Source organism: Homo sapiens, chromosome 6 (assembly GCF_000001405.40).
Source record: "Homo sapiens chromosome 6, GRCh38.p14 Primary Assembly".
Taxonomy (NCBI): Eukaryota; Metazoa; Chordata; class Mammalia; order Primates; family Hominidae; genus Homo; species Homo sapiens.
Window position 1 is genome coordinate 115,929,549 of NC_000006.12, and position 13,112 is coordinate 115,942,660.

The 13,112-nt window shown below is 38.5% G+C and overlaps 1 protein-coding gene across 9 annotated transcripts in view; it reads right to left on the reverse strand.

The window, feature by feature from the left end:
- Positions 1 to 1,600: 1,600 nt before the first annotated feature.
- FRK (fyn related Src family tyrosine kinase) overlaps positions 1,601 to 13,112 on the reverse strand; it is a 169,577-nt gene continuing 158,065 nt past the window's right edge. For all 9 annotated transcript variants that reach the window (XM_011535656.3, XM_011535655.3, XM_011535654.3 and 6 more), the window contains one exon: positions 1,601 to 13,077. In XM_011535656.3, the coding sequence (XP_011533958.1) occupies positions 12,866 to 13,077 (212 nt within the window). In that variant the 3' untranslated portion in view covers positions 1,601 to 12,865. The remainder of the gene's footprint in view (positions 13,078 to 13,112) is intronic.

Below are 13,112 nucleotides of genomic sequence, written 5' to 3' on the forward strand. Positions count from 1 at the left end.
GGAGAGAAGACATCTCAGCAGATAGTCACATAGACAGGTAATGACATGATACTGGCACCAGACAATTCCTCCTGCCCCAAAGCCTTAACATGCTAAAGGCACATAGCACTTAGGGAAAAATGCTAGAAATAACATTTATTTTCCAATACCTGGCAGAATTAAGATTTTAAGTAGATAATGTGTTATTCAGAAATTGGGTGTGCCAGTCTCTAGAAATAGAGATTAGACATCACAGTTTCTTAAATAGCATAGCATTTCAGCCCTCCAATACTAGAATTCCTGAGGTCAGCAATCCAAGGATGGCATGGCAACTTCCCTTTCATCAATGACCCACACCCTACTTAGAAGTGACTTCCGGGCCGGGCACGGTGTCTCACGCCTGTAATCCCAGCACTTTGGGGGGCCAAGGCGGGTGGATTGCCTGAGCTCAGGAGTTCGAGATCAGCCTGGACAACATGGTGAAACCCCGTCACTACTAAAATACAAAAAAATTAGCAGGGTGTGGTGGCGTGCGCCTGTAATCCCAACTACTTGGGAGGTTGAGGCAGGAGAATCACTTGAAATCAGGAGGCAGAGGTTGCAGTGAGCTGAGATCCTGCTATTGCACTCCAGCCTGGGTGACAGAGCGAGACTTCGTCTCAAAAACAAAAAAAAAAAAAAAAAAGAAGTGACTTCCATCTCTAAGTGTTCCTCATGATCTAAGATGGCTGCCAGGGTTAAGGCTTAAGACTTAACAAAGGAGAAAAAGACAAAGAACGGCCCATGCCAGCTGTTTACCATACAAAGTCTTCCTAGAAGTCCTGCAAACCAACTTTCTCTTACATATCTTTCGCAACCTCTAGCTGCAAAAGAGGGAGGGCAGTGTGATCTTTCAGCTGGTTCTGCTACTAAGGAGGAAAGTGAGAATGGATCCTTAGACGATAATTTAATTCTTAGGAGGAAAACAAGAAGGTAAAAAGTGTGCATGTAGGTTTGTGAGCTAAGATTCACATGCCCAGTTGGTCTCCCCTGATAGTAAGCTTAGAGAAAAACAGGGTGTATTTCTCTGTTAACAATTATATCCAAACATTTAGTTCAATACTTCTACTTAGTAAGCAATCAATATATGCTGAATGAATAAATATAATAATTAATGAAGAAGAAATGGATAACTGAGTACTTGTGACCTTCCACCACTCAGCTTCACTTAGAGTTTGTTTTATCACAGTGCAACAGCCTTTAGTGCTACTTAGTGAGTATTTCTGGAGAGCTCTATGTCTGGGTACATGGTAAGATTGTATATCCATCATTCCTTGTGTCTGGGTGAAGCCACGTAATTGTGGCCAATGAGTGGGAGCACAAGAGACGTGTATCTTTTGGGCCCAAGGATGGAACTGCCAACATGAGATCCGCTAGAGCTTTCGTTCCTACTGCCACAGCAACCAACAACGTCTAAGCTGGAGGTTTCTCCATTAGCCTGGGACTCTGAGAAAGGTGACATGAAGCAGATGATCTGCAGTAAATGGCATCAGCAAGATCATATCCCCTGGATTCACAGACTTACTTTCTTCATCATACAAATGCAAACTCTTAACATAGTCAACTGAGGAGACATTTCACGTGCTATGAACACATTGAATTTATATTTTAGATCCACAATCAACTTGACTTCTGAAACAGTTGACTTTTAAAAGTCAGGGTAAAAATAATCACTTTGATATAATTATCATAATAAATCCAGTGTGAATAAAAATAGAATACATAGGGCAAAATATAATTTCAAGAAAAACCATTGCCTTAATATTTTAAAGAATACAGAAATAAAAATGTTTAAAAATTGTAAGTAGTTACATTTGAATCTGGGTAAATAATAGCATTATAACAAGTGGTACAATTAAAAGAGGTCTTCTTTAATCCCTGTTGCTACATATAAATTAGTCATATGTAATATGTGTCACATGTAACTGTACAATATAAATATTAAAGAATACAATATAAAAACATGCATGTTTTTAAGAGAAAAATCTCACTGTGGTAGCTTTAAAGTATACAAATCTGGCTAATTGATTTTATTTCTTATTTTTTGAATCAATAATTAAATATAGATTTTGAAAATTGATTAAAAGCTATGATATATTTCTACTCTGAAATTTTGTGGACCATAAAAATTAAATGTAACTTGGTTAATACCAAGCAGTTTTCTTTTTCACAAATAGTATAATTGAAGCCTCTATTCTAAAATATCAGAAAATCATTATAAAGCAATATTTAGTTTCTTCCAAACAGGGCAGTTTTAGTTGCTTTTAACCACTTTTTCCCAACATACAACTTCTGGTTATTAGGTAATATGACTTGAATCCTCTGCATGGTAATACTTCCAACTGGACACTTGAGGTGTGTTTGAGATATAGCACCCTTTTCTGGAAAAGCTGATTATTCTCCATGAAAATGAAAAAGATGTTACATTGACGTCTGTTGCTTCAAATGAATAATAGATAAATTAACTACCTAGGCAAGAAGAGTAAATGGAAATAATTGGGCATCTCTTTTCTTGTAATTTAATCTTATAACATCTCTGTAGATAGTGTCATCTGAATGTAGATTGAAGCTAAACTTGTTAAGGCTTTTGAAATTCAGGGTTTATATACTACTTTGTTCTCCAGTATATTTCTAAATTTCATAAATAACTTGAGAGGCCTACTAACATCACTTTCTTAACAAAAGCAGAGAAAAATCTAAGAGTTTAGTGGGGGAATGTAGGCAGTAAGAGGATAACACTGAAAATTAAGATATGAATTTAAAAGATTTTTAGATACTTTCCAGCATTTTTTTGATCCTATGACACTGAATATTTGCATCATGTTGAAGATTATAGACTGAATCTTCTACATAATAATTCCAGAAAAAACAAGAATCAAACATTGTCAGATCAGCCCACTGGCAATTCCAATACCCAGGTGTACAAACCTCATTTACTTTTACTTTAAGAATGGCCTTTCTCTTGAATTAAATGATGATGCAATTTGAATAAGGTACCCAAATCATCACCATTCTAGCTCACATAATGTGTCTTTTTAAAGAATCATAATGAGTCACCAATGACACAATACCAGAAAGGCTATTTGGTTCAGAAATCATATGCTCAACCAGACCATGAAAAAAGTGATTGTAGGTATGGCATATGCTTAACAAACCATGGAACACCAGCTGGGCTCTGCTTCCTTCAGGAAGCTCCAGCTGGGTAGTGGTATGGCATCCTTCCAATGGCAACAGTTTCCTTTAGGCCTCCACAGAGTCGGAAGAGTTTGGGCCCCTCCTGGTTCATTAGATCCACATGGTCATCATACAGATATTGTGGGTAGAAGCTGAGGGTGAGCCTAGCCTGATGTTACCCCACAGGCTAGTTCTTTGTCTGTCTTTTAAGTCAACCCATTCCCACAGCCAGTTTGCAGATTCCTGGTCACTCTGACTTTAACTTTGTTTTTGATGACAAAATATTCAGGTTCCACAACTATTCAGAGTCTACCCTGTGCCTCTTTTGACCTTAGGTAACTTAAATCTATTCCCTTATTTCCTTCCTTACCCTCTTTTTAAAAAAAAAGAAAAAGAAAAACTTAATGGAACATTGAATTTTCTTTATTGCAAATTCTTAGGGTTTCTGTCAAAAGAGATTTGAAATACAACATGAAATGATGTACTCACATCCCTCACCACCATCTCCAAATAACTGAATTACATAAATAAAACATTATATGAAAAGTGCTTTGCTACAATTTATGGGAGGTAAATTTAAGAAGAGCTGGCTCATTGTAGGAAAATTCAACTTATCTTTTCCTGATCCTTTTATTTAATACAGGGAGAGAAATTTATGGCAGTTAAAAAAATCTATTACTGTTTCTCATAACTGAATCCATTATTTTTCTCCATGATCCATCAGGTAAAAACAAGAATAATAGATTGCTTTGACAGAACCTTGAACATAAATGTCCCCAAGAATCAAACACAGTAAGTTAAACGGGTATCAGGTGGTATTAAAACAGGAAAGGATAAACTTCTTTTCATATTTCAAAATCAGATCTTACTTAAAAATTTATTATTATTAGCTACCAAAAAGAAACAAACTATATAGTGGCTGAATTTGCATATTGAAATGGGAATATTTCTATTCATTTCTATATGTGCGCAAGAAAAATTAAACATGAAATGAATTCAAAGAAAAGGAACTATTTTCTTTCCATTTATGCTAACTGGTTATTTATAATTTACTCCTTGATTGCATTAGACTAGATGACTTTAAATAAACAAGTTGTTCTATACACAGTCAACTAATTTGAAAGATTAGTGTTGATCTTATCTTAGAAATACTGTTTATAAAGGAATCAAGGGGTTCTATAATCTTTAGCTTCACATGACCCATTTAATTTCAAGGTCATCAGGAAAGTTTGGGTATATATGCACACATCTGCCTGGAATACACACACACACACACCATATAAACACACAAAAAAATAAATATATACACACTCAACATACCCGCATGTATATATTTAGAGAGAGAGAAAGGAGGGAGATGAGGTGATGATGATGATAGATGGGTGGATAGATAAATACAGAGATAGATAATTCTAACCGTTAATTCACCTCAGGGAATGTTCTCCTTAATGAACACCTCTCCAGCATCTCATATTCTCTGCTTTTATTCAGATAAGCCAACCTCTCAACTTGTCTCTGAGGAAGGTGACCACATTCCCAGATTCAGAGTCAGAACTTATTTTAATCCAATCAGCACATAACATTCACATTAAGCCTATTTTTGGTCCATGGCTGGGCATAGGACCCAAGTTTGCTGGAACACAAAAATGAAAATAATTTTTAATCCAAGCTTGGGATAGAGATTTCCCATTTTCTCTTGCCAGATGAGGAGAAGAGAACGCGGAACCCCAGTTTTGCCATTGATAGCCATCTGTGACCCTGGGAAGGAGGGCAATGCTGATGGCAGAGGGAGGCTTGGAAAGGACATGGGTCTTCGTTCACATTGAACTGCTAATGATATTGTGCCTGGAGCCCTCCCTACTTCCTGTCTCCCAGTTAAAAGAGTTTACAAATTTACTTCTTGTTTAATCTACTTTGAATTTGGGTTTCTGTAACTGTTTAGATAGGCGCTTCTCCTTTAAAGAAAGGCATGAGAATATACTCAAAATATTCTGCTTTCTCATGGCTTGTTTCATTCCTATTGCTTTACACTGGAAGATCTTTGAATATATATTTGATTTTGAAACCATCTTGGAAAAGTCTACCTAGTTATCTAATGAGACAGATAATTTGATACATGCATTGTTTAAAAAAACAATAACTTTGTTACAAAGTTTAATTCAAACTTAAGATGAGTAAAAACCCTCTTATCCTACCAGACCAAAAAAAAAAAAAAACTTTCATAACCAAGTTTGGACATTATTCCTAGCCTCTAGTTCTGAAATAGAGTTTGACCTATTTTGTAGTCCATTTAAAACTCTGGTCTGATTGCTGGCAAGATGGCCAAATAGGAACAGCTCTGGTCTGCAGCTCCCAGTGAGATCAACGCAGAAGGCGGGTGATTTCTGCATTTCCAACTGAGGTACCCAGTTCATATCAGTGGGACTGGTTGGACAGTGGGTGCAGCCCATGGAGGGCCAGCTGAAACAGGGTGGGGTGTCACCTCACCCAGGAAGCACAAGGGGTCAGGGAACTACCTCCTCTACCCAAGGGAAGCCATGAGGGACTGTACCTGAGGAACGGTGCACTCCAGCCCAGATACTGCACTTTTCCCATGGTCTTTGAAACCTGCAGACCAGGAGATTCCCTCCGGTGCCTACGCCACTGGGGCCCTGGGTGTCAAGCACAAAACTGGGCAGCCATTTGGGCAGACACTGAACTAGCTGCAGGAGTTTTATTTTCCATACCCCAGTGGTGCCTGGAATGCCAGCAAGGCAGAACCATTCACTCCCCTGGAAGGGGGGCTGAAGCCAGGGAGCCAAGTGGTCTAGCTTGGCGGGTCCCACCCCCACGGAGCCCAGCAAGCTAAGATTCACTGGCTTGAAATCCTCATTGCAAGCACAGCAGTCTGAGGTCGACCTGGGACACTCGAGCTTGGAGGGAGGAGGGCCGTCTGCCATTGCTGAAGCTTGAGTAGGCATTTTACCCTCACAGTCTAAACAAAGCTGCCTGGGAGTTCGAATTGGGTAGAGCCCACCACCTCAGCTCAGCAAGGCCACTCTGGCCAGACTGCCTCTCTAGATTCCTCCTCTCTGGGCAGGGCAACTCTAAAAAAAAGGCAGTCAGGGACTAATAGATAAAACCCCATCTCCCTGGGACAGAGCACCTGTGGGAAGGGGTGGATATGGGAGCAGCTTCAGCAGACTTAAATATCTCTGCCGGACAGCTCTGAAGAGAGTAGTGGATTTCCCAGCACAGTGCTCGAGCTCTGGTAAGAGTCAGACTGCCTCCTCAAGTGGGTCCCTGACCCTCGTTTATCCTGATTGGGAGATATCTCCCAGTAGGGGCCAACAGACACCTCATACAGGAGAGCTCTGGCTGGCATCCAGTGGGTGCCCCTCTGGGACGAAGCTTCCAGAGGAAAGAACAGGCAGCAATCTTTGCTGTTCTGCAGCCTCCACTCGTGACACCAAGGCAAACAGCATCTGGAGTGGACCTCCAGCAAACTCCAGCAGACCTGCAGCAGAGGGCACTAACTCTTAGAAGGAAAACTAACAAACAGAAAGGAATAGTATGTCCACTCAGAGACCCCATCCGAACATCAGCAGGATCAAAGACCAAAAGTAGATAAATCCAGGAAGATGAGGAGAAACCAGCGCAAAACAGCTGAAAATTCAAAAAAACAGAATGCCTCTTCTCCTCCAAAGGATCACAACTCCTTGCCAGCAAGGGAATAAAACTGGATGGAGAATGAGTTTGACGGATGGATAGAAGTAGGCCTCAGAAGGTGGGTAATAACAAACTCCTCCAAGCTAAAGGAGCATGTTCTAACCCAATGCAAGGAAGTTAAGAACACTGTAAAAAGATTAGAGGAATTGCTAACTAGAATAACAAGTATAGAGAAGCACATAAATGACCTGATGGAGCTGAAAAATACAGCATGAGAACTTCATGAAGCATACACAATTATCAATAGCCAAGTCGATAAAGCACAAGAAAGGATATCAAAGATTGAAGATCAACTTAATGAAATAAAGGAGAAGACAAGATTAGAGAAAAAAGAGTGAAAAGGAACTAACAAAGCCTCCAAGAAATATGGGATTATGTGAAAACACCAAGTCTACGTTTGATTGGTGTACCTGAAAGTGACGGGGAGAATGGAACCAAGTTGGAAAACACTCCTCAGGATATTATCCAGGAGAACATCCCCAACCTAGCAAGACAGGTCAACATTCAAATTAAGGAAATACAGAGAACGCCACAAAGATACTCCTCGAGCAGAGCAACCCCAAGACATATAATCGTCATATTCACCAAGGTTGAAATGAAGGAAAAAATGTTAAGGGCAGCCAGAGAGAAAGGTCAGGTTAGCCACAAAGGGAAGCCCATCAGACTAACAGAGGATCTCTCTGCAGACACCTTACAAGCCAGAATAGAGTAGGGGCCAATATTCAACATTCTTAAAGAAAAGAATTTTCAACCCAGAATTTCATATCCAACCAAACTCAGTTTCATAAGCGAAGGAGAAATAAAATCCTTTACAGACAAGCAAATGCTGAGAGATTTTGTTACCACCAGGCCTGCCCTAAAAGAGCTCCTGAAGGAAGCACTAAACATAGAGAGGAACAATCAATACCAGCCACTGCAAAAACATACCAAATTGTAAAGATCATCGAGGATACGAAGAACCTGCATCAACTTTCGGGCAAAATAACCAGCTAGCATCATATGACAGAATCAAATTCACACATAACAATACTAACCTTAAATGTAAACAGGCTGAATGCCCCAAGTAAAAGACAGAATGGCAAATTGGATAAAGACTCAAGACCCATCAGTGTGCTGTATTCAGGAGACCCATCTCACATGCAAAGAGACACACAGGCTCAAGATAAAGGGATGGAGGAATATTTACGAAGCAAACGGAAAGCAGAAAAAAAAAGCAGGGGTTGCAATCCTAGTCTCTGATAAAACAGACTTTAAATCAACAAAGATCAAAAGAGACAAAGAAGGGCATTACATAATGGTAAACAGATCAATGCAACAAGAATAGCTAACTATCCTAAATATATATACACCCAATACAGAAGCACCCAGATTCATAAAGCAAGTTCTTAGAGAACTACAAAGAGACTTAGACTCCCACACAATAATAGTGGGAAATTTTAACAGCCTGCTGTCAATATTAGACAGATAAATGAGACAGAAAATTAACAAAGATATTCAGAACTTGAACTCAGCTCTGGACCAAGTGGACCTAACAGACATCTACAGAATTCTCTACCCCAAATCAACAGAATATACATTCTTCTCAGCACCTCATCGCACTTATTCTAAAAGTGATCACATAATTGGAAGTAAAACACTCCTCAGCAAATGCAAAAGAACGGAAGTCATAACAAACAGTCTCTAAGACCACAGTGCAATCAAATTAGAACTCAGGATTAAAACTGACAGAAAACCTAACAACTACTTGGAAACTGAACAACCTGCTCCTGAATGACTACTGGGTAAATAATAAAATTAAGGTAGAAATAAAGTTGTTCATTGAAACCAATGAGAACAAAAACACAACATACCAGAATCTCTGGGACACATTTAAAGCAGTGTGTAGAGGGAAATTTATAGCACCAACTGCCCACAAGAGGAATCAGGAAAGAACTAAAATCTATACCCTAATATCACAATTAAAAGTACTAGAGAAGCAAGAGCAAACAAATTCAAAAGCTAGCAGAAGACAAGAAATAACTAAGATCAGAACAGAACTGAAGGTGATAGAGACATGAAAAACCTTTCAAAAAATCAATGAATCCAGGATCTGATTTTTTGAAAAGATCAACAAAATAGAATGCTAGCCAGACTAATAAAGAAGAAAAGAGAGCAGAATCAAATAGACACAATAAAAAATGATAAAGCGGAGATCACCACTGATCCCACAGAAATACAAAATACCATCAGAGATTACTATAAATACCTCTAAGCAAATAAACTAGAAAATCTAGAAGAAATGGGTAAATTCCTGCAAACATACACCCTCCCAAGTCTAAACCAGGAAGAAGATGAATCCCTAAATAGACCAATAACAAGTTCTGAAATTGAGGCAGTAATTAATAGCCTACCAACCAAAAAAAGTCCAGGACCAGATAGATTCACAGCCGAATTCTACCAGAGGTACAAAGAGGTACAAAGCTAGTACTATTCTTTCTGAAACTATTCCAAACAATAGGAAAAGAGGGACTCCTCCCTAACTCATTTTATGAGGCCAGCATCATCCTGAAACCAAAACCTGGCAGAGACACAACAAAAAAAAAAAAAGAGAGAAAATTTCAGGCCAGTATCCCTGACGAACATCCATGCAAAAATCCTCAATAAAATACTGGCAAACTGAGTGCAGCAGCACATCAAAAAGCTTATCCACCACGATCAAGTTGGCTTCATCCCTGAGACACAAGGCTGGTTCAACATACGCAAATCAATAAACACAATCCATCACATAAACAGAACCAATGACAAAAACCACATGATGATCTCAATAGATGCAGAAAATTTGATAAAATTCAACACCCCTTCATACTAAAAACTCTCAATAAACTAGGTATTGATGGAACGTAGCTCAAAAAAAATGACAGATTTAAGACAAAACCACAGCCAATATCATACTGAATGGGTAAACCTGGAAGCATTCCCTTTGAAAGCTGGCACAAGACAAGGATGCCCCCTCTCACCACTCCTGTTCAAAATAGTATTGAAAGTTCTGGCCAGGGCAATCAGGCAAGAGAAAGAAATAAAGGGTATTCAAATAGGAAAACAGGAAGTAAAATTGTCTCTGTTTGCAGATGATATGAATTGTATATATAGGGAACCCCACCATCTCAGCCCAAAATCTCCTTAAGCTGATAAGCAACTTCAGCAAAGTCTCAGGATACAAAATCAATGTGCAAAAATCACACACATTCCTATACACCAATAACAAACAGAGAGCCAAATCATGAGTGAACTCCCATTCACAATTGCTACAAAGAGAATGAAATATCTAGGATTACAACTTACAAGGGATGCAAAGGACCTCTTCAAGGAGAACTACAAACCACTGCTCAAGGAAATAAGAGAGGACACAAATAAATGGAAAAACATTCCATGCTCATGGATAGGAAGAATCAATATCGTGAAAATGGCCATATTGCCCAAGGCAATTTATATATTCAGTGCTATCCCCATCAAACTACCATTGACTTTCTTCACAGAATTGGAAAAAACTACTTTAAACTTCATATGGAATCAAAAAAGAGCCCGCATAGCCAAGACAATTCTAAGCAAAAAGAACAAAGTTATAGGCATCATGCTACCTGACTTCAAACTATACTACAAGGCTACAGTAAACAAAACAGCATGGTAGTGGTACCAAAACAGATATCTAGACCAACAGAACAGAACAGAGGCCTCAGAAATAACACCACACATCTACAACCATCTGATCTTTGACAAACCTTACAAAAACAACCAATGGGGAAAGGATTCCCTATTTAATAAATGGTGTTGGGAAAACTAGCTAGCCATATGCAGAAAACTGAAACTGGACCCCTTCCTTACACCTATACAAAAATTAACTCAAGATGGATTAAAGACTTAAATGTAAGACCTAAAACCATAAAAACCCTAGAAGAAAACCTAGGCAACACCATTCAGGACATAGGCATTGGAAAAGACATCATGACTAAAACACAAAAACCAATGGCAACAAAAGCCCAAATTGAGAAATGGGATCTAATTAAACTAAAGAGCTTCTAGACAGCAAAAGAAACTATCATCAGAGTGAACAGGCAACCTACAGAATGGGAGAAAATTTTTGCAAGCTATCCATCTGACAAAGGGCTAATACCAAGAATCTACAAGGAACATAAACAAATTTAAAAGAAAAAAACAAACAACCCCATCAAAAAGTGGGCGAAGGATTTGAACAGACACATTTCAAAAGAAGATATTTATGCAGCCAACAGACATATGAAAAAAAGCTCATCATCTGATCATTAGAGAAATCCAAATCAAAACCACAATGAGATACCATCTCACACCAGTTAGAATGGTGATCATTAAAAAGTCAGGAAACAACAGGATGCTGTTTTGGATGCCAAAGAGGATGTGGAGAAATAGGAACACATTTACACTTTTACTCTGTTGGTGGGAGTATAAATTAGTTCAACCATTGTGGAGGACAGTGTAGCAATTCCTCAAGGATCTAGAACTAGAAATACCATTTGACTCAGCGATCCCATTACTGGGTATGTACCTAAAGGCTTATAAATCATTCTGCTATAAAGACACATGCATGTTTATTGTGGCACTATTCACAATAGCAAAGACTTGGAACCAACCCAAATGCCCATCAACGATAGACTGGATAAAGAAAATGTGGCACATAGACACTATGGAATACTATGCAGCCATAAAAAAGGATGAGTTCATGTCCTTCACAGGGACATGGATAAAGCTGGAAACCATCATTCTTAACAAACTAACACAAGAACAAAAAACCAAACACAGCATGTTCTCACTCATAAGTGGGAGCTGAACAATGAGAACATATGGACACAAGGAGGGGAACATCACATACTGGGGCCTGTCAGGGGATGGAGGGCTAGGGGAGGAACAGCACTAGGAGAAATGCCTAATGTAGACGACGGGTTGATGGGTGCAGCAAACCACCATGGCACTTGTACACCTATGTAACAAAACTGCACATTCTGCACATGCACCCCAGAACTTAAACTATAATAAAAAGTAAAAAATAAAAAATAAATAAAACTCTGATCTGTAGGCCAAAGGGTACTTCTTTTTCTTTATTAATTACTCAGAAGTCTAGGCCACAGCAATCCTACTGTTCTCCTCTCATTTTCCTAAACTATTTTGATACCTATTTCTCAGACTTTATGGGCTATTAGACATTTCTCACATTTCCATAGATAATAACTCATCCGTTTTGCAACCTGATTCTCAATATTAAGAGATTAAAACTAATGTATATGACTCTCAGTTGACACATACTGAAGTACAGAAAAATTCCATCATTTCCTTCTGCAAAATGAAAAAGACTTCGTTTTCTCAACAGCTGCATCATTTTTTTATGCATAGAAAAAAATGTGCAATTACTCCAAGTACAATCAAGTCATTTAACATGGCTTTACCATCATTGTAGTTACAGGATATTTTAAAAGAGAAAAAAAAATCTCAAAGCACAGGTCCTGCTGTGCAGCAAAGCAATCAAATTCCTTCATAATAACAGCCTGATGGGATTCAGCAATCTGAGGAATAATGAATAACCACTCTAATCAGTAAACAGGAAAATGCTACAACAGTCACTGAGTAAAAATTGGACTATCATCTGTTGATTCTCTTGATCGACATTTCAAACAATAAATGGAAATGTAAGTATCTCTTAAAAAGAAAAATAACTTGGTTTAGTGTGCTTAATTTTACCAGGCAGTGAGGAAATTATATATCACCTTGACTGTCCTGCAGTGTTGCCCAGTCAATAAAATGCACAAATAATCTTTTTCATAATACATGGCCAACTTTATCCTATCACTTGAATATGTCAGGATAAACTGATTGTGCAGTTGGTTGATAACATTGTATTTTGGAATGGATTATTTGAATTTGTTTTGCTACTTTATTATTTGATATTCTTCTCCAGTGTTCATCTTATGAAGTTATTTGCATCTGAATATGAAGAGTCTGTTTCAAAATAGTCTTCAAGTTTCCAACGCAGTGTCTCAAATGTAGGTCGTTCCTTAGGCTCTGCATTCCAGCACTCCAACATGATGTTGTAAAATTGCTGTGGACAGTTGGATGGTTGCGGAAGTCTATAGTTTTGAGCCAACATCTGGATTACCTGGGCACCTGTCATACCTTGAAAATACAGAACGAAACCAACAACAACAAAA